General features: G+C 39.3%; 1 protein-coding gene and 1 long non-coding RNA gene across 4 annotated transcripts in view, besides 1 other annotated feature; both read left to right on the top strand.

The window, feature by feature from the left end:
* DSCAM (DS cell adhesion molecule) overlaps nucleotides 1–21,581 on the top strand; it is an 836,160-nt gene that overhangs the window by 208,141 nt on the left and 606,438 nt on the right. The window lies entirely within an intron of this gene.
* DSCAM-IT1 (DSCAM intronic transcript 1) lies at nucleotides 8,251–20,511 on the top strand. The gene is made up of 4 exons (NR_046774.2): nucleotides 8,251–8,360; nucleotides 9,377–9,478; nucleotides 17,618–17,763; nucleotides 20,150–20,511. It is a non-coding gene; the product is annotated as a DSCAM intronic transcript 1 (long non-coding RNA).
* Nucleotides 14,947–15,589: an enhancer, noted in NCBI's record as "NANOG hESC enhancer chr21:41995355-41995997 (GRCh37/hg19 assembly coordinates)". NCBI's record gives its function as "activates a minimal SCP1, AML or CMV promoter by ChIP-STARR-seq in naive H9 embryonic stem cells {active_cell/tissue: H9 hESC(naive)}" and the evidence as "EXISTENCE:reporter gene assay evidence [ECO:0000049][PMID:30033119]".

Below are 21,581 nucleotides of genomic sequence, written 5' to 3'. Positions count from 1 at the left end.
GCTGAAAAGCTGTCACAGAACTGAAGCCTGCCTGGAAATATCTTGAGAATGTTGATATCATTTTAATAGGATCTAAAATGAGAATTCTATCAATATAAAACAGGGAGAAGGGCCTCCTTCTATTTTTAAAAATACCCAACATTCATGTTTTTCATATTTTCCTAGCCTATAATTACTCTTAATCAAAGCACAACAAATAGTAAACAGTAAAAATGAAATAAATGTGGTGACAGTTTGCCAATAACGAGGAGAAAATGTCCCATCTGTCTAGCCGCGAGTAAAATGGGTGTAATTACCGCTCATTTTTCTCGTAATTGCTGAGTTATTAGTTTAAAGCTTACACACAACTGGTGAACAGTGAGTACTACCCATTCCGTAATTACAGCCCCAGCCTCGCCGTGCTTGAAATCAGGGAATGCAAGAGCAGAGGAAACGATCTGAATTAACCCTGACTGCTTGCACAGAATTGTGACTGTCTATCTTATATTTAAATTTTATAAACTCTGAGTTCCTTTGCTATCCAAATGTTAAACTGGAATGTTTGCAAATCCAGCTTGAATTCTAATTTGCTTTTAAGCTATAGTCTTGCATCTGCTTCTAATGGTGAATGCATAAATTCATTTTTGATAGAAATAATCCATGCAGACCACCACCCTTTGCATTGCATTTGTTAAAGTTATGCATGGTTCACTGATATGCAGGGGTCTGTTAGCAGTTATGTTACCATCTCGTTACCAGGGAAATTCCATTTGAAAGTTTAGGATTACACATGGGTAGTCAACACCTGACGTACACAGCAGGGCAAATACAGAAAAAAGAATCTCCCTTGATTGTTTCTGTTTATTACAAATCAAAGATTAAGACAAATAGAGCTGTGGTTTATTTCTTCTTCCAGTATGTTATTTTATCTCTGAGATTCACCTAAGAAAGACTAAGTTCTATGATGTTCTCATAGAACTATAGCTACTTTTGCCTAAAATGCTGATATCATTTTAATAGGATCTAAAATGAGAATTCTATCAATATAAAATGGGGGCCGGGCATGGTGGCTCATGCCTGTAATCCCAGCACTTTGGGAGGTCGAGGTGGGTGGATCACCTGAGGTCAGGAGTTCAAGACCTGCCTGACCAATATGGTGAAACCCCATCTCTACGGGGTTTTTTGTAAAACTACAAAAATTAGCCAGGCGTGGTGGTGCGCACCTGTAGTCCCAGCTACTTGAGAGGCTGAGACAGGAGAATTGCTTGAACCTGGGAGACAAAGGTTGCAGTGAGCCAACATCATGCCATTGCACTCCAGCCTGGCTGACAGAGTGAGACTCTGTCTCCAAAACAGAAAAAGAAAAAAATTTATATATATATATATAGATATATATTTATATATATTTATATATGTATATATTTATATATATTTATATATATATTTATATATGTATATATTTATATATATTTATATATGTATATATTTATATATATGTATATATGTATATATTTATATATATTTATATATTTATATATATTTATATATTTTTATATATTTATATATATTTATATATATTTGTATATATTTATATATATATTTATATTTATATATTTATATATATATTTATATTTATATATATTTATATATATATTTATATTTATATATATTTATATATATATTTATATTTATATATATTTTTATATATATTTATATTTATATATATTTATATATATATTTATATTTATATATATTTATATATATATATTTATATTTATATATATTTATATATATATTTATATTTATATATATATATTTATATTTATATATATTTATATATATATTTATATTTATATATATTTATATATATATTTATATTTATATATATTTATATATATATTTATATATTTATATATATATATATATATATGAATGAGAAGGGCCTCCTTCTATTTTTGAAAAATACCCAACCTTTATGTTTTTCATATTTTCACATTCTAGCAAAGGTAGATTTTCTGGGTTACCTCTCTTTGGGGTCCTGTCTTTGGTCTATACAGGGAACTGTAACTCACCACAGACAGAGATAGTGCTGAGATGACAAAGCTGGGCTTGATTCCGCTTGGATCCCTGGCTTCTCAGCCATTCCTGATGAACCTTTTATTAGCTGCCTGTCTCTGATCCGGGAACACTGATGACAGGTGCGTTTATTTTGAGGGAGCATATCCTCAAGCTATGGAGTGGTTGTTGAATGAGATGTTGTGAAAAAAAAAAAAAAAAAGTCATGAGACCCCCGGCCAAAATCCTCAGACTAGCGTGGCATTTTTTTTTTCCTAGCAAGTTATGTCATTTAATTTATAGATATAGAAGTGGAGACAATGAAAATATAGCATAGTATGTTCATTTCCTTCCTCTGAGCCTGAGTGATGCCAAGGCATATTTTTCTATGTTAGAGGGACTACCCTGGAAAAAGGAATGGTTATAGTAAAATTTGGTATGGAAGATTCACTGATACGAATCTCACATTTTCGGAAAGAGAGGAGATGAGGAAAGGACTTGGTGATGATCAAATATAACCTAAGAATCAAAGTTATTTCCATTCCTGGCTGCAGAAGCAGTGAACCACCCCCTTCCTTCTTCCCTCTCTTTCTTTCTCTCTCTCTCCCTCTCTCTCTAATATTTAACCTCTTGGTTGAGATAAGCTGGTGAAAATCATGGAAATGTATTTTTAAAATCTTCATTCTAAGCCCCCGAGAACCACAGTATGCCAGATTCCTTTGAGCTCCGCATAAATGTCTTGGCTCCGTGAACCACGTGCATCTTATGCATAATCCTTTGGTTGTGCGCGCCAGCTGGGCAGCAGAGATAGCGAGTGCTGGGGTCTTGCAGCTTTAAAACTGTGCCCAGGCCTCACTCAGAAGTAGGAAAATGAAATGAGCATTTGCATAATCTATCTCGAGTTACCCAGGTTTCTTTCAATCTTCTTATCACGTTTTTAAAAAAATCTATTAAGAGAATATTAGAACAAAATGCATTTTTCTCTTCAGAGAATTCATTTTGCCTGCGTGTTTGGGTCCTATAGGGCTTTTCATTTGTTTTAGTTTTTTAAAATGCCTTAAGAAAAATTTTTAGGAGTTTACTTTGTTCCTACTCTTCTCTATTTGAGTCAGCAACACATATTTAGATTAATTCTTTTGACTTGGAAGTGCAGTTCTGAGCGATTACAAAATTTTTATCTAAAAAGGCTCTAAATGAATTGAAGTTGTGAAAATTGTGATAATTTATTTCCTGGAATTGAAATACAGAGAGAAACTAAAATACACACCACATTTTAATTCAGTGTTAATTTCTCCCATTTGCTTATAAAAGAAAACATGGTGCAGATCTTGTGTACTTGAAATAACTGTCCACACATTCTCAATCCACAGTCACGAATCAGACACACACACATGCACACACATGCACACACACCTGCCCACGCACACACCGGCATACACTGCTAAAGTAACAAGCTTGCTCTCCAGGCCTGTGCTGCCAAGGCTGGCTGGCCAGACTGCCTGCCTCCCTCTCTCTTTCTTTCTTAACTAGATTATTTTCATTAACTCTACTTTCTAAATCTTTCTTTACCTCGGTAGCAATTTGCAGCTGCATCATTTACTGACACGTGTTTCTTGAAGTTCCCTAGCAGGCACTGAGTTTTGAAATCCAGCGGTCTCCAGTGTCTGGCCCGCACACCAGCATTTGGTACTGCTGCCCTGTCCTTTTCCCTCCTGCTGACATCCCTCCCTCCAGGCTGTCTGCTGTGTGTCTTCGCTTTCTCTTCTTTATTTTCCCCTTTCTCTCCTGTCGATGGGATTTCCCTTCTTTCTTCTGCCTTGTCTGTCCCCTCTCTGTGTCCCTTCTTCCTTGAATGGTGACCTACCTCTCTACAGGCTGTTCCCAGATGCCGTCATTCTTTCATTTAACACAGAAGTACTAAGAACTCATCTGTACCTGGTGCTATTCCAGGGGCTGGAAGACTACAGAAAATTTTAGAGAGACAAAATTCCTATCTTTGTGAAACTTATATTCCAGTGGGAGCAGGCAGACAACTACTAAAATAAACATGTAACATGCTATGTTTGATGAAAAGTGTTGTAGAGAAAAATAACTCAAGGAAGGGTGATAGTAGGTTGAGGCTGTTTAATGCTTTAAACAGGATGGTTGGTGAAGGTTTCTGAGAGGTGGACGTGGGTGCAAAGACACCCTTTCTTCTCGCTCAGTTATTACCAAAACGGAAAAATCACCACGTGCCTGTGCTGAAGACAACCTTGTAGATACACAGGCTTCAAATGAATACACTGAAGTTCACACATTTCTTTAACCTGGGATGTCCCAAATATTTCTTTTTAGATTTGTACATATTTTGTTTTACTGATAGCTTATTTGATGTATTAAGATACTATTACAGAGAACAGGAATTTCTAGGGCATATTGGGAATGAAAAGTATGGCCATCGTGTTGCATCTGAGCTGTGGGTCCCCATAGAAATGTGAAGAGATGAGGGAAAAGGATAAATCTTTGGAGGAAGAGTGTTGTAGGCAAACAGAACCGTAAGTGCACAAGTGGGAGTGTAGTACCACTGCATGCTGGTAGAAGCCTTGGTAGTGAAGAGCTGAGTGGGGAAACACGGTTCCGTCACAAAGTCCCTCTGTGTGCAGACAGAGGCTGATGCCAGCTCTATGCCTACTGCCAACCGCTGCCACCAAAAATTACGGACAGAACAAGAGGAACAAAAGCCACAGAGCTGGTCTGAATCTCATTCCTGAAACATCTTTCCTCTTATTGTTTTCAAACTTTCTGTGTTTTGAAAGTTCTTAAATGTAACTCTTGTGCTTTTACTCCTCCATTAACCGTTCATCAAGTCGTCTTTCAATAAAGAGACTTATATGTTGTGTCTTTGAGATTCCTTTATATTGGGATATAAAGGAGCATATCCCACTAAGGAATAAATAGCTGCTAGGCTTTCTCTTTCTTTCTATTTGTTAGGCTATGTTCCTGGGTCGAGAATAAGAAATAGTAAACCCTTTGTGTCCTCCCTTTGGGAGAAGACCACCTTATACAGCAACAACATGGGATCTCTGGGGCGCATCATTCCCTGGGAGGCTTCCCAATCTAATAGGAGACTGCCTCCCTTTGGGAAAAGACAACCTTGTGTTTTCTGTGTATGGTTCATTCCAAGTTACACACATCCAAGCATCTTACACCATTGAACACGCTCTCAAAATTCACTCCAGGCATTTGCGTTTTGACTCCATGCATCCCCATCAAACAGTTCTTAGCCTACAGTCCTGACGGAGGCCCATCTGAGCAGCCATCTTATTCTCAATGTCTAGCTAACCCCTCCTTTCTTCTCACTCAGTTATTGCCAAAATAGAAAAATCGCCATGTGCACGTACTGTACGTGGCTGTGGATACACAGGCTTCAAATGAATACATTGAAGTTAACACATTCTTTAATGTGGGATGTCCCAAATATTTCTTTTTAAATTTGTACATATTTTGTTTTACTAATAGTTTATTTGATTTATTAAGATGCTATTTACTGAGAACAGCAATTTCTAGGACATATTGGGAACGAAGAGTATAGCCATCTTGTTTTATCTGAGCTGTGGGTCCCTGCTCTTGCAGAGAGATGTGGAACTGGGTCTTGCTGTGAGATCTTGTGAAGTCACCGCCTTCCTCTCAGGACCACCGCCATTTGATTATACGTTGTGTGCATTCCTTCACGTGACCATGTGCCAGATGCAATAGAAAAAGTCGTTTCAGACTGCCACTCTCTGCTTCCAAAACCCAAGTATCACATTGGTTGGAATCGATGAAAGTAACTGTCACCCAGCATTTGTGTTCGCTGGTGATGATGTATTAAATAGGGAAGAACCACAGGCTGGGAGGACATCAGTAAACAACCTAAAGGGGGTTTTAAATAGCAAATCAATATGGAACAACGGATGTAGAAAATTACCAGGAAATGGATAATTAAGTTCCTGCCATGCTCTTTTACAAAATCTCTGAGAATAAATTCTCTTAGGACAAATAAAGAGGAAAAGTGATGCCCATGAAAACCTTAAGGAAATGATTGAGTGTTGGTGCTTAAAGTGATGGAGTATCGGTGGTGTCATAGTGTGCAAAGGGAACCCACAGCCTCTTGAAGGGATTCGCACATGGTCACGTCCATCTTTCCATTCCAGTGGCGCTGGGCTTCCTGTGGATGCAGCACAGTTAAGTGTAGTGGTCTTTCTAAAAGCACCGCACAGGTGCTTGTCAATCAACGTGGAATGAAAGCCACCGGCCTAGGGATGAAGAGTGAGTGAGACCTCTTGCATTTTCCGACTAAGCAATTTCAGTGCTGTCGTGTGATCTTGTTATTCCAATAAGCAAAACACGTTATTTTATTTTGGGCTCAGTGTTGGATATACTGAAAACAATGATAATAACCAGCATTTACTATGGAGCACATACTGTGTCCCAGGAACTGTCGTGTCCTTTATATGTTTTACCTCGTTACTGAGTGTGTGTGTAAAACAGCTCTTTATTATGTGAGCAGAACAACTCCCCAATATATGTGTGATAGTAGTGTGTCTTTTAATACATTTGTGTATGCATATGTATATATAAAACAACTGTCCTCTCACCCTCCCCCCACCCAATTTCCTTTTATTCTTGTAAACGACTTTCTCTACCTCTTCATTTTTTTATTTACAGAATGACAAGTATTCATAAAGCCAGGTATAGGCAGATTCTATCAGTTGGCTACAATAGCTGGATTTGTCTTGGGGGTAGTTTTATTTATTATTTTGCCCTCCTATTTCTGACAGGCTCATGAACCCCTGAGCACTGGGGTCAGCATAGACCTGGTCAGCAGCCTTGGAAGCCAGCATAGCTCTTTGGAGGCCCCATGCCCAGGGCACTACCCTTGCAAACTCAGAGCTGTAAAAGGATGCCCTCTTCAACTGCGTGGACGCGTGCTGTTCAAATGCACCTTCTCACAGAACCTGTGCAGTAGCGCAGGGAGGCAGACTTTGTCAGAATTGTACCCACATTTTACTAGGAAAGCACCAACATGCAGACAGTCTGAAGAACTTGCCCATGGTGGCGAGGATAGTGTCAAAGCCATGGCCTCTGTTGCCATCACCCTTTATTTTTCCTTCTGCACCACAAGCCCATGTCTCCTGATATGACTGGGAAGCCTCATGGGGAGTGAGGTTCCCCACAGAGATCAGATGTGTTGCTGTATAACTTCCTACTTTGGGACAGAGATAAAATGGATGACTTCTTTGGCCCTCCCAGTCCTGAGATTCTATCATCCAGATTCATTCCAGTAAACATGGAACACCACCTAAATGTGCTGGAGTGAACAGAGTGATTGTTTCCATGACTGATTTCAGTGTCTTAATTCCTTCTCACCAATTCCATGACTGTGGGGCCTGAGGGACAGGACAAAAGAGTAGACCCAATACTGGGAAGTCTTATTGGGTTGCAGGGGTGCTCTGAGTCAGCTGGAGGAAAACGGTGAATCACCCATGCAAGCCCAGAATCCCACCCAAAACCATGCCCAGAATTCAGACACATTTTATTTTAAAGAAATAACAAAAGTGGTTGAATGAGGCAAGATGTGGGAGTGAAAGACTGGACCTGATGGTGACAGCTAGGGAAAGGAATCTGAGCTGCTAGAGCAGTTCAGTAGCTGGCTCAATTATCAAGCGGTGAGATTTGCTGGCAAGAGTCAAATAAGGAACAAGAAGACAAATGACATGGGGCAGATAGAGCTGCACTGTGGCAGAGCTGATCTGCAGGCTGGTGGAGCAGAGGAGGGGAGCCACTGAGCCATGCAGAGAGGCCACGTATAAGATAATACGAAGTGACTTGGCCAAAATGTGTAAGCACAGAAGGTTCATTGCTGGCATACACAATTTCTGCTACATAACATGGTGTCCTTAATGGCCATAACTGCTGAAAAGCACAGGGAGAAAGTGGATGTTATCTAATTTATAAAATGATAATACTTTTATTATCCAGATTGATGACAGATGCTCCAACCCCCAGAGTCTTTCTCTCCTTGGCCCCTTGACCTGAATTCTTCAAGCGGGGACTTCGTTTCATAGCCTCTGAGCCCATTCTTTCTTCCCCCAACTCCCTCAAAAATCAAATTACATTGTAATGATCTGTCCACCTTTGGGTGACACTCTACCGTGTTCATCTGAGACTCTCTCCAGCGTTTTTGTTTGTGTCCAGGCTTCCAGGAAAGCTGATGGGGTCTACATGCACTTTTCCTATATCCCCCACTGACAAGTACAGTGAAGGCCGAATGCTCAGTGAACAGTAACTCTCTGCCCTAAATCCAGGTGGGTGATGGATCAACACTGAACTTTTATTTATTTATTTTTTTAGAATATATTACTTTGGCTGGGCGCAGTGGCTCACGCCTGTAATCCCAGCACACTGGGAGGCCGAGGAGGGAGAATCACTTGAGGTCAGGAGTTCAAGACCAGCCTGGCCAACATGGTGAAACCCTGTCTTTACTAAAAATACAAAAACTAGCTGGGCATGGTCACGTGCACCTGTAATCCCAGCTACTCAGAAGGCTGAGGCACGAGAATCTCTTGAACCCTGGAGACAGAGATTTTTGTTGTGGTAAAATATACATAACATAAAATCCACAATTTGAGCCATTTTTAAGTGTTGACTATACACCATTTAAAGCAACAAAAATGTTTGCAAATTCGGGTTTTATCCAACAATGCATGCATTTCCTGTAGATTTTATTCTCACCTCACCTCTGTATGAACTCTCTGCCTCTGCTTCTGTCAAATGTGTCCGTTCCCTAATATTAGACATACTTTGTGCTTTCCTGCTTAATTAATTGTTTATACAGCCCTTCTCTTTCCTTTTCACTTCTGCTTTCCTGGCCACCACACCTCTTCCTGTTGGGCTCCATGGTAGACATCCATCAGCATTTACTCCTTGCCTCCCAGGGAATCTAGGTCATAAAGGGCACCCTCTTTGTTTATAGCACTTAATAGTAATTGTAACATCTCTATGTTGTCTATATTGTCATTTACCTCTTCTATTAACTATTCACATGCTACCAGATAACTTCTTTTATTAATCTGTATGTATATGTCAGGTTCTATAGTAGATGCCAGGTCTCCAATAGTAAATATGAATATGATTATTAATATTAAATATGATTTGTCTCCTTTTCTCATGGAAGTTTTATACTCTGGACAAAGGGCAGACATTGAACAATCACTGTATCAATCAGAATAGGCTATGTTGTGGTAGGCTAACAACCTTCAGCACCTTCGAACAACAAAGGCTGATTAATTTCTTGCTTACTCCATTTGCCCTGGTGGCTCAGCTGTGACTTTCATGGTCCTTACTCATGGACCTTCCACACTGAGGGAGCATGCTGCATCTGGGGAATTTTGGATATCAGGAGCACTGAGAAAAAGAGAACACAGTAAGTCTCAAACTAGCTCTTAAAACTCCTTCCTCACTTCTCCTCTTGTTTCATTGGCAAAAACAAGTGACACGGCCAGTTCTGGCTTCAATGGTTGATAGATATGTAATCTTCCCCTGAGGAGTTTGGGTATCGTTTAACTGGATATACAGGCTATACATACAAATGCACAATTGCACATTTTTATGAGACTCAAAACCCTTCCAAAGTAAATTTGATTACTTCTGTTTGAATTTGGTTTTGAATTTTCTAGAATTAAAGGGTTCGAAGAAATGTATAAGGATAATCTTGTCCAATCCCAAATGGTTTGACCCATGACTCTCAATCTCTGGGCCTCTGCATAAGAGTAGAGACTAAATTATTTTATAGGACAAGAAGTAGAGTAAACATCCTAAGTGCTTGCCATAGAGTAAGTAATATCACACACACACACACACACACACACACACACACACACACACACCACACACACACATACTACACACACATACACACACAAAAAGATAGATATATAGGGCTGGGTGCAGTGGCCAGGGAGGCCGAGGCCGGCAGATTGCTTGAGGCCAGGAGTTTGATACCAACCTGGGCAACATGTCAAACCCCATCTCTCCAAAAAAATTACAAAAATTAGCTACATGGTGGTGCATGCCTGTAGTTGCAGCTACTCAGTAGGCTGAGTTGAGAGGATAACTTGACCCCAGGAGGCGGAGGTTGCAGTGAGCTGAGATCGCACCACTGCACTCTAGCCTGGGTGACAGATCAAGACCCTGTCTCAAAAAACACAAGAAAAGATAGATAGATAGATAGATAGATAGATAGATAGATAGATAGATAGATAGATAGATAGCAAGTGCTTATACCATGGACCATTCTAAATGTTTTTCATCTATTAACTCAAGAGTCAACAAACTTTTTCTGTAGAGTAACAGACACTAGATATTTTAGGTTTTGTGGGCCATGAGATCTAGGTTATTACTACATAACTCTGCCACTGCAGTGCAAAAGTGGCCACAGACAATACATAAACAAATGATCTTGGCTGTGTTCCAATACGGATTTATTTACAAAAACAAACAGTGAGCTGGTTTGACCTCTGTTTTAACTTAGTTTATTCTGATGACAACCCTACTGTTATCCCCATTTTATAGAAGAAGAGGCCTGTAGAGGTACAGTAATTTGTAGAAGTGCAGTTGAGGCTTGTAGAGGTTCAATCATTTGTCAAAGTTCTCTCATCTGGTAAGTGGGGGAGCCAGGCTTTCACAAAGGCAAGTTGGCTCCAGGGTTCATGATCCCAACTGTTAGGATTCATTTCTTCTCTAATAATGCTACTCTGCTGAATTCAGTTAAGCTATCGAAGTATGGATCAGAAAAGAGGGTTGGGCTTCCAATATATTTGCTCATTTTATGGATGATCTTTTCTGTCTACAAAGACAAAAGACACAAATTATTTGTGGTTTCATTGTGCTGGGGTTGTGTGATTTACTGAGCCACACTAAATACACAACAAGGTGGTATACAAAGTGGTCAAATGTACCATCTGAATCATTCTTGACATACACGGACACACAACTTTGGGGGTCTTCAAGTTTCCTTCTACCCTTCCCAGCAGGGTAGAAGAGAAGACAAAAACACAGCAGAAAAACTCTGTCCAAGAATGGGAAAGAGTAGTTATGGCATGCTTAGGTGGTGGGAAACAGCTGATTTAAAGTTAGTAAATCTGAATCCAAATAATGGTTCGATTTCTCTGTGCAACCATGCTTAAATCCCCGTGCTTCTCCAAATCGGAGCTTTCACGTCTGAATCATGGAGATAGTATATCTACTAACAGATGTGCTGTGAATGATAAAGGAGTTTAAGTAAGTGCAAGTGTTGGCTAAATTACAGCATCTTATAGATATATGTAAAGTCATCGCTATTACTGGATTGTCCTTAGAAATAAGGGTTTTGCTTTTGTTGTATTTCAAGGTGACTTAAGTATGGTTGACTGCATATAGAAAAGGAAGAATCCAAACATGTACTCGCTGTAATTGAGTCTTTAAATTGCATATTTAAAGAAAATTACTAGCTTTTAAAATCCCAAGTGATTTTAGAGAAGACTCACAGAATTGTTAAGGCTTTCCACAACATATTTACTCATATAGTGGGGGTGGAAGGAGTTGGATTTGCCCTTGTGGTTTTCATAGAGTTGACAGCTTTTCTTGCCTATTCCACAAGTTCTAATGCTACATAATTTTTAAGATTTGGTCCACTCAGCTATCACTGTGATCTCCCAACTTAAATCTGTTATCAATTTTTCAGTCCTCTCCTAGTTCTTTGCATTCACTTCTATTTGCCACAGGTTATTAGAGTTATTTGTCCATTCATTCAACTAACGTGTGGCTGTCTATTATGGAGAGGCAGTGTACTAGATGTTAGGGACACAAAGCTCATGAAGTAGATATGGCTTCTGTCCTCAGTCGGTGTATCTCTCAGTCAGAATCTGTTACTTGAGGGGGCAGCTGGAGCTCTTTCTCCCTTCCTAGTAGGCTGAGCATATGGAAACCAGATTCCCAGTTAATTTTAGTTGTTGTTTTCTTGATACGTAAAGAAAAGATCCATAAACTCAAGATGCTTTCTTATGAATCAAGTTTTCAAGTTTTATAGCATTCGCTTTGTACTACTTGTTTTGACCCCATTGAGAAGTTTTATTTCTTCTGTTCTCCTGATTCTTCGCCATTTTAGCAGCAAATATGTACTTACCATCCACTATGTGATTGATGCTTTGGAAATACAATGGAAAACTTGGTAGCAATGAACCCTCTGCCTTTAAGAAGCTTATATTCTATTTTAGATTAGGGAAGCAGGAAGGTCTCTCTATGTACAATAGAATGGGAAAGAACGAGCCACATAAGTGGTGTCAAAGAGGAATGCAAAAAGACAGCATGGCTGGAGCCAAGTGAAACTAAAAAGAAGATGAGGTTGACTAGAGACATGATTCAGATCACCAGAGGCTGGGAGGCAATGGAGAGCATTTTGATTTGATTCTAAGTTCAATGGAAAGTCACCAAAGAGTTCTAAGAAGGAGTATAACATAGGGTTTGACACAGTGGGTGGGTGAAGAAGATCACACTTGCTACTAGAGATGGGGAGTACGTTGTAGAGGGGAAAGTATGGGTGCAGAGAGATCAGATGGGGGTTATTTCAGGTGTCTACATAAGGGATGATGGTGACCTCAAATGGAAGTAGAGGTAAGTGGAGAGATGTGAGATACATTTTCAGATAGCAGGAGTAGGACCTGCTGATGGGTGTGTTGACATGGGCTGAGGGCAGGGATGAGGCAGGAAGATGGTAAAATCAAGAATATTCCTGGGTTGCGCAACACTCCTCTGTCCACTCCCTGTGATGCGATTTGGCATTTCCCAACTCTGCCTTCCCTCCTAAAAATCAGGAATCGGTCTTATATTAATTTTATTTTGGGTTCTGTATCTGTTGAATTCCATAAACATCTCTCATTTTTTTCTGGTTACTCATTCATCTATCAGAAATTGTGTAAAGTCCATATTTTTTCAAATTTAGACACCTAAATAATAAAGATTTAAACTATTAATAAACATGTACTTAATTTCAAAAAGAGCCTGCTAGACATAGGTGAATAGGGTTTCCCATTTCCCGAGAGGAGGAAGAGGTGAGGAAGATTGTGTGGGGAAAATTGAGAGGAAAATGGAGCAGTAGTAAAGGAGAATGCCAGCTAAAGGGAATTTTGTTTTGTTGTTGTTATTTGTTTATGTGTTTTTTGTAAAGATGAGATACAGTAGAGCATGTTTGCCCAGTGAGTACAGTGATCCAATAGAGAATAAGCTGTCGTGGTGCAGATACAAGAAAGATAAAAGAACAGACGTAATGACATCCTTGAGAAGGCCACAGGGTGGGGGCTTTCCAGCTCCTGCAGCAGGATCCGCCTTGAGTGGGTGATTGGGGTGGGTGCAGGGTAGAGAGAGATTCTAACTGAGCAAGTTTAGGATGAGGGCTTGCACTCCAGAAAAGGCTGGAGAAGGCACTGAGAGAGCTGTTAGGAGGGAAGCCAGAGATGAGAAACATAGAATCTCATCTCAGGGAGTGAAAAAGGAGACTCCTAGACACAGGATGGTGGGCCTTTGTTGAGCGACTCTTCCATAGAGGAAAGTGCCGGATAGCTGGTTTCTGGAGAATTTAAGTATTACTGTATTATACATTATAATGCATCTTTGTATAATGTTTTTCTCTTATTCCCCAAGATCTTTCATTTTCTTTTGGAAAATGTGGACAGTTAGTCTCCATGTATATCTCTGTGGTTTCTTACTCTTATATTAATTTTGTTTTGAGTTGAATATCAATTGAACTTCATCAACATCTCTCATTTTTTCAGGTTACTCATTCCTGTTTCAGAAATTGTTCATAAATGTTCATTATTTTCACATTTGGACACCTAAATAATAATGATTTAAACTAAACATTTATTTAACTTCAAAATGTATATACTATTTGCCTTTTTTATGGTGAGAATATATTTGTATAATACCTATTTATGTCAACACAGCAACTAACATAATAAATATACTCTTAGATTATAAAAGCTCACTTTATATAATCAAAGAATTTTCTTTATGTTATAAAATAACTGGTATGAATATGCTATTTAGATTATCATTCAATTACTTACACCTCATTTCTTTCAAAATGTATTGGAGATATTTCCCAATTTGCAGGTGCTTGGAAGGTTGGAGTGATGAGTGTGTGTTTGTGTGGATGTGCTTTTGGATGTGTATGCACACAAAGGTTTCTTCTTTCCTAATCTAATATTTCTTTTTTCTTTTTTGGCCTGACTTCTATACACAATTTTCTTAGCCCTTCTGGTAGGTTATTTAGGAACTCAAAAGTGCTGGGTATTGGCTTTCATGTCCTGCCAGCCTTCCTTCTTTTCTTTGGGAGAATGTTCTGCATTCCAGGAGACCCTGCTCCCAAGCATCATTCACATGGTCAGGCTGTCCAGGTGCCTCTCACCCCACTTGGAGATGAGGCTGCTCTGTTTTCCTACTTTGGTAATCCCTGCCTCTGTTCTAAGGGCCTGGCCAAAACATGGAAAGTCTTACTCTTTTTTCAATCCGATCTTACAGCAGTGCTGGTGACATTTTATTCTAGGTAGATGTTTGCATGAGGCAGTTCTTAAAAAAAAGTTTAAAAAAAGATCTTTCTGTCTCTGAGCTTTTTTCATCTATTTCCTCCTTCTGTCATATTTCCAGAAGGTAATTGAGAGTCAGTTATGTTTTATTTTATTTTAACCCAGTGATACAGGCAATGATGAGTTTGCATGTTAGTAAAATGGGAAAATGAGATGTGTAGAGGCTGAGGGGCAAAATGAGAATCGGCACAAAAATCTGATTGATACAACATTCTGTGAGAGGCAAGAATGTCCCTGTTAGGCAGGAAGCCCTGGGTAAGATAACCTGGAATGGGTGTATATGATCAGAACACAGGGCAAAAAAAACCATCCTCAAGACTTATCGCCATATGAAGACTGAAAGACAAACCAACCTTCTGAGTGAACTCACTGAAAAAAATCTTGTGTGCCTGGAAACATTCTGAAAGGGGCCCCTCCCTTGGGCTATAAAATCAATGGTGAATATCATTATCAAATCAGATATGGGTAAGCTTTTACAGCATCCAGTTCCCAGTGACTATCCCTTAAAGAACAAAACAAAACAAAAACACCACTATCCGTAGGCAAGTGTTTTCTCTTGACCACATATTTACATATGAAAGTCTATTCTGGGGAAGGACAGTGAGGAAGATGGAAAAATCAATGAAAAGCTCCCTCTTTGAATTTGTAGAGGCCTTTCTTTCAAAGGTGAGCCCTTCTGCACAGATTTGTTTGCAGAGACCCACACAGGCCCCATATTTATTTAGTTCCTATTTGAAAAGAAGCTTTCCTCCTGCCTTAGAAGAAGCTCATTACAGATAGACTTCACCTTTCTGTTGCAAAAGATGTTTCCTTGAAATGAAAATGTAATGAGTGTTAGATCAGTAGCATGTAGCTGCCAGGCTATCTCTTTGATCCAGTTTGGAATGCATTTGTTAAAAAGCTGCTTTATTGATTTTTTTAGCTGCTTTTTGCTGTGTTTGGATCATTTGTACATATACACATCACAATTTTTGCTACATCAAAGTGCTTAATAAGTTCACTGCACTCAGGAAATAGCATACAAAACAAAGGAACTTTGCTCTATAAAGATTTCTGCCTCTTAACCTCCAGTATGAAAGTTGTTTTTAATGTGTTTTTTTTTTTCTGAATAGCTTCAAAATATTTTATGCAGTCTTCAATGAGTCAGCCAGGGCCCCGCTTCAGATCTCCTTCTTTGAAAATGATGCATTCTGGAAAAGGAAGGATTTGATTGAACGAGTAAACACATCTCACATCCATTCTGCTGGACAGGAGTCATTTTACTTCAATTAATTATTTAATTGGCTCAATTTGTGGGTAGCGGCAGCTTCCAGGAAAGTGTTGACAATATTTGATGTATGTGAGGATAGCTACTAATTTAGTAATAAGTTGAAATTTACTAGGTAACTAATGTGATGTTTGTTTATTAGGTCCAATTATATGACAAAGAATGAGCACATTATAACCTTTAATGCTGATTTTTTTTTTTTTTGTATCATGTACATACAAATCAGTGTTAAGTGCTTTTAACTCTAAACAGGTATTTCCTGGGGGCAGACTCGGAGCCAGCTCAGTGGAAAGCACGACTGGGAAGACAGAGCTGAGTTTGCTCCACTTTTGGTCTCAGGCCAAAAGTGCTGACTGTGGTCAAGTGTGGGCTGCACAGAGGAGCTGTCCAATCCAGCTTTCCAACTAGACCCCTCGTGCTGGTATTCGGGCAGGCTATACCTCCTGCAGATGTACAAATGAACATGCATTAAAGATTTTATTTACCTCATTCAGTGAGGGAGCTAGGAAAACATTATAAACAGTTGAAATGGGGATCAAAACCAACATTTATTTGTCAGTAATAGTGAAATGAATATGCAAATGGAGTCAAAACTGGTTTTTCCATGGGAATGGTGTCGGTGGGGAGGGAAACCAATTAAACCCCTATGACAGGTGGAATTTATGGTGTTCATTAGTTACCTACAGACTATAGGTTTGTAAAATAGCTCAAAGACAATGAAAACTTAGAATGTGATAACCTCTAGAGTCTAGAAATTGTGGCGCTTCCCATTGAAGCACACCTTTTTTTGTACACCTCCAACAGTGGGGCGGACACTCAAATCCTTTTCTTTTTGTCTTTAAAGTCAGGAAAGTACGTTGACTTCAGGGGTCAGGTGAAGGTCAAGGGGTAAGAAAATAGGAGGCAGGTGATAATTGTGGGCTTCCAGTAATATTCTGGTAAGTGAAAAGGAAACATGACCTAAAATAGCAATGCATCAACTGAGTATTTAAAAGTCTTTTGTCTTTTCTAGAAATTTTGTCATCGTGGTGGTAGTTGATGTAAAAAGTGGTTTTCCTACTTTGAATTTTATCTTTTATTCTCTCTCTCTCTTTTTTCCCCTCCCTCCTTTCTTTCCTTCCTTCCTTTCTTTTTTCTTCCTTCCTTTCCTTCCCCTCCCCCCTCCCTCCCTCCCTTCTCTCTCTCTCTTTCTTTCTTTCTTTTCCATGACCTCATTCAGTGCCAGTTCACATTTTCATCTTGATCCATCCCTTTGTACATTGGACTCTCAAAAACAGCAATTCTTAACAGCTCAATTGGATTTGCCATTTGGGGCCATCTCTGTACATGGCCTCTAAATAAATTTACGAACTCCCCTTGGTGCAAAATTGAGATATAGATGAATGGGTGGCTCCCTAAGAGAGGAACGGGGACACCTGGGTCTGGTGGAACCATGTCCTGAAAGCACTATATGACTTTGGCAAACAGCACTCTTCTCTGGGTGCCATCCCATCTGGTCCCCAAGCAGAAGTCAGAGGGTGCTTAGCAGCCATGGCCTGGCCTGGCTGCAAAGGGCATCCAGTCAGCATTGCTTTGTACACTGGAGCTTTGAACCAGTGATCCTCAAGCCTCTCCAGTCAGGTCACTGGGAATTTATACTTTCCTAAAATGTCCGTTTTCTTGCTGTTTGCCTCAGAATGAAATCTCACCTCATGTGATAGTAGTCATGAAACCCAAAGACACAATGTGGAGAGGAGTTCACGAGAATGCCTGGTATGAGGAGAGCACCCCAAATCACTCTTTATGAGCTCATCTCAAATCTCGGGCTCCACTTATCCCACGGTAGTTTTTTTGTTTGTTTTTTTGTAGTTATAAAGATATAATTTACATGTAATAAAATTTATTTTTAATGTGTATTTCTTCTTTTGAACATATGCTTAGAGTCACACTACAATCAGATAATGTTTCTGTGGGACACCCAAACTTTCCTGGTGCCCCTTTTTTGTCATTTTTATCCCTGGTCTCCCAACTTTAGTAACCACTGTTGTGATTTCTGTCTCTATATTTTGCTTTTTCTAGAATGTCATATCAATGGAATCCTAGAAATGCAAACTTTTGAGTCTGGCTTCTTTCACTTATAATGCATCTGAGATCCATCAATGTCGTCACACGCATCAGTGCACGCTGAGTCGTATTCCCTTGTATAAATGGAACCCGGTTTATTGTCTCACCTACTGAAAGGGAGGTTGTTGGGTTGTTTTTAGTGATGGGACATCATGAATACAACCAGTAGAAACGTTCATTTACAGATTTTTTATATGAACACAGTGTAGTGTTTCTGAATTGGATGATAAATACGTGTTTAATTCTATAAAAAGCTGTCAAACTGTTTTCCAAAATAGCTAATCTATTTGGAATTCTCACTAGCAGTATATGAGAGTTCCAGTTGTTCCATCATATTCTCACCATCATTTGGTATTGCCTGCCTCCCTCCCTTACTCAATCTTCTTTTTTCTTTTCTTTTTTTCCATTATATTCTCACCATTATTTGGTATTGCCTGCCTGCCTGCCTGCCTGCTTGCCTTCCTCCCCTCCCTCCCTCTCTCTCCCTTCCCTTCCCTTTTTCCTTCCTTCCTTTCTTTTCCTTTCCTTTCCCTCCCTTCCCCCTCCCTCTTCTCTCCCTCCCTCCCTCCTTTCTTTCTTTCTTTCTCTTTCTTTCTTTCTTTCTTTTTCTTTTTTCTCTCTCTTTCTCTTTCTTTCTTTTTCTTTTTTCTCTCTCTTTCTCTCTCTCTTTCTTTTTCTTTTTTCTCTCTCTTTCTCTCTTTCTTTCTTTTTCTTTTTTCTCTCTCTTTCTCTCTCTTTCTTTCTTTTTCTTTTTTCTCTCTCTTTCTCTCTTTCTTTCTTTTTCTTTTTTCTCTCTCTTTCTCTCTCTCTTTCTTTCTTTTTCTTTTTTCTCTCTCTTTCTCTCTCTCTTTCTTTCTTTTTCTTTTTTCTCTCTCTTTCTCTCTCTTTCTTTTTTCTCTTTCTCTCTTTCTTTCTTTTTCTTTTTTCTCTCTCTTTCTCTCTCTCTTTCTTTCTTTTTCTTTTTTCTCTCTCTTTCTCTCTCTCTTTCTTTTTCTTTTCCTTCTTTTTCTCTTTTTCCTTTTTTCTTCCTTTCCTCCTTTCTTGCCATTCTACTAGATTTCATAGTGTTATCTCATACGGTTTAAATGATATTACCTTAATTACTAATATGTTGAGCTTTTTTTTTTTTCTTTACATGCTTAAAATCTTCTCTGTTCAAGTGTCTGTTCAAATCTTTTGACTGGGCTCTCTTTCAAAAGCTTTCCAATTCAAATTCTATCTTTCCAAAAATATGAATTCATTAAGTCTAGAAAGTATCGATCGGCGTATTTACAATGCCTGTGGATGCAATGGCGAAACAAACTCCTAGAACAGATTATTTTGTAGTACCTTAATACATAGATATTAAAGCAGTAATCAACTCAAGCCAGAGTGGATTCACTAAGAATGAATAATGTAAAGGGACCCATTTCCTTTCTTTTTCATGAATTAACTTAATTTTATATTAGAATAGTTGAATAGATATATTTTATTTCATGCTTGTGAACAAAATGGAGAAATATGAACTGCGTAACAATAGGTAAATTATATTTTGTTGAAAAACTATTACCCCAACATATTAATCTTTTTGAATCTGTCTAGCTGGAGGAATGTTCCTTAGTAATTAAATTCAAAATAATGTAATCATCAAAAATATTCCAATTAAGTCAACAATAATTGTTTTATAAATATTATTAAATGTGTATATTTTATTCTTATTTTAGAAATATCACATATTATAATAAATCTGGTATAGTTTCATGGGAGAAGGATCCTCTGACATTCATCTCAGAATGCTATACTTCACTTAAAGTTTACTTCCTTTTGTTATATTAACCCCACTTCATGAGATGCTATTTACTCTACTTTTTTTAAATGTGTATGCCTCACTTTAATGGTGTTGCTTTTGTTTTTTTTAAAATTGCTTATCTTTATATTTGAGCTTTCCTTTTACCCGGTGGGTTTAAGTGGCATACTGCTTGCTTCAGCCTATTTCGAGTAATTCTGAGGTAGAGGCAGGACAGATTGCGAGGCCTGTCATGCCAGGAGCTGCAAAGTCTCTCCCCTTCTTCCTGGGTCTTGGTAGACACTTGAGTTTCTGCCATGTTGTCCCTTCCACCTCCAGGCGCTGCTCCTGCCTGAGTTCTGCAGCCAAGTGCCCTGTGATTGCTATAAGAAGGAGGAATGAGGACTGGGGGGCGGCGATGCAGCAAACTGACCAGCTGCCACCTCTCCATTCTCCCAGTCAATCTCTCTGATCATTGTCTCTGCGCTAGCTCACAGTCTGGAAGCTTGGAGAGCCTCTTTTGTTTCTCCACTTTTTTTTTTTTCTCAGAGTTCTCTGTAAAAGCATGTTTTGGGTTGTGCTCTCCTGTTTCAATTAATTTATATCTACCCTCTGACTTTTAGGAACTTATTATATTATTTGACAAAGCACAAATGTGCAGAAAAATCCTAGGCCTAATAAACCCAGATGTTCTGGATGCAGATTCATGCTTCTCTCTCATGAAACTCCGCCTCCCAGGCCATCAGGGTGAAAGCAGGGTGGCAGCTGCTGTGAGGACAGCGCTGCCATGCAGCGCTAGAGACCATTCCCCACACCGCACCTGCTGCCACGGCAACAAGCACCCCTCCTGCCCTCCCCCTTTAGAGGATGTCATGTGGAAGTTCCATAAAGGCAAAGACCACGGAGAGCTCATCAGTGGATTTTACCCAGTAACATTTTAAAATGTATTTATTCCTTCTTCGTTTGGATTTTCTGAAAACGGAGCACACATTTCGATAGGCATCAAGCAGCCTGTTGATTTCATGTGTACTAACTAGCAATTTTCTTCTTATCAGAGATGCTTATTGAAACACGAGGCTTTCATTTCTTAATACAATGACACCTTTTTAATCAGTCCCGCACAGCTCTTAATTCAGGAGCCAGAATGTCAGTGAATAAAGTTCTCCTTAGAAAGCAGACCTGACAATTCCTATGGTTCGTGAGGCTTCACCTTCACCCAGGCAGCCATATTGACAAAAGCCCCAAGTGTGTTGCAAAGTGGGTGGGTGCCGGTGTTTTGCCTGCTTCGCGTTGGAACACCCGTCCTCTGTCTGGCATTGCTCTGCAGTAGGAATTTTGGTGGGAAGGAAGAAGTTGCAGAATCTGAGTCAGCAGAGTCTCTATTTCTAGATGTGCTTGTAGCTACTCTATGGACACCTGACCTAGCTTCTTCTAAGTCAGTGCTCCTCAACTGAGCACAAGTTTGACCCCAGAAGTCATATGGCAATGTCAGCAGACAGTTTCAACCATAACGACTGGGAGGGAGCTGCTGGCATTTAGTGTGCAAGGACCAGGGGTGCTGCTTACGCATACTATGATGCATAGAATGTTCCCACGAAAAACAATTGTCTGACTCCAAATGTCTACAGCGCCAAGCTTGAGAAACCCTAGTCTCAGTTACAGTACCTGGGAGCCAGTGGATCTCCAGTGTCCTGCTCGGGTCCTAGAAGGAGCTGGGAGGGGGTAGATTGTGGCCTCTGGTGTTCTGTGATGGCAGCAGCAACATTTACTC

Source organism: Homo sapiens, chromosome 21 (assembly GCF_000001405.40).
Source record: "Homo sapiens chromosome 21, GRCh38.p14 Primary Assembly".
NCBI classification, from domain to species: domain Eukaryota; kingdom Metazoa; phylum Chordata; class Mammalia; order Primates; family Hominidae; genus Homo; species Homo sapiens.
The sequence above is the reverse complement of the archived record's forward strand: the minus strand, read 5'-3'. Positions and strand labels throughout refer to the sequence as shown.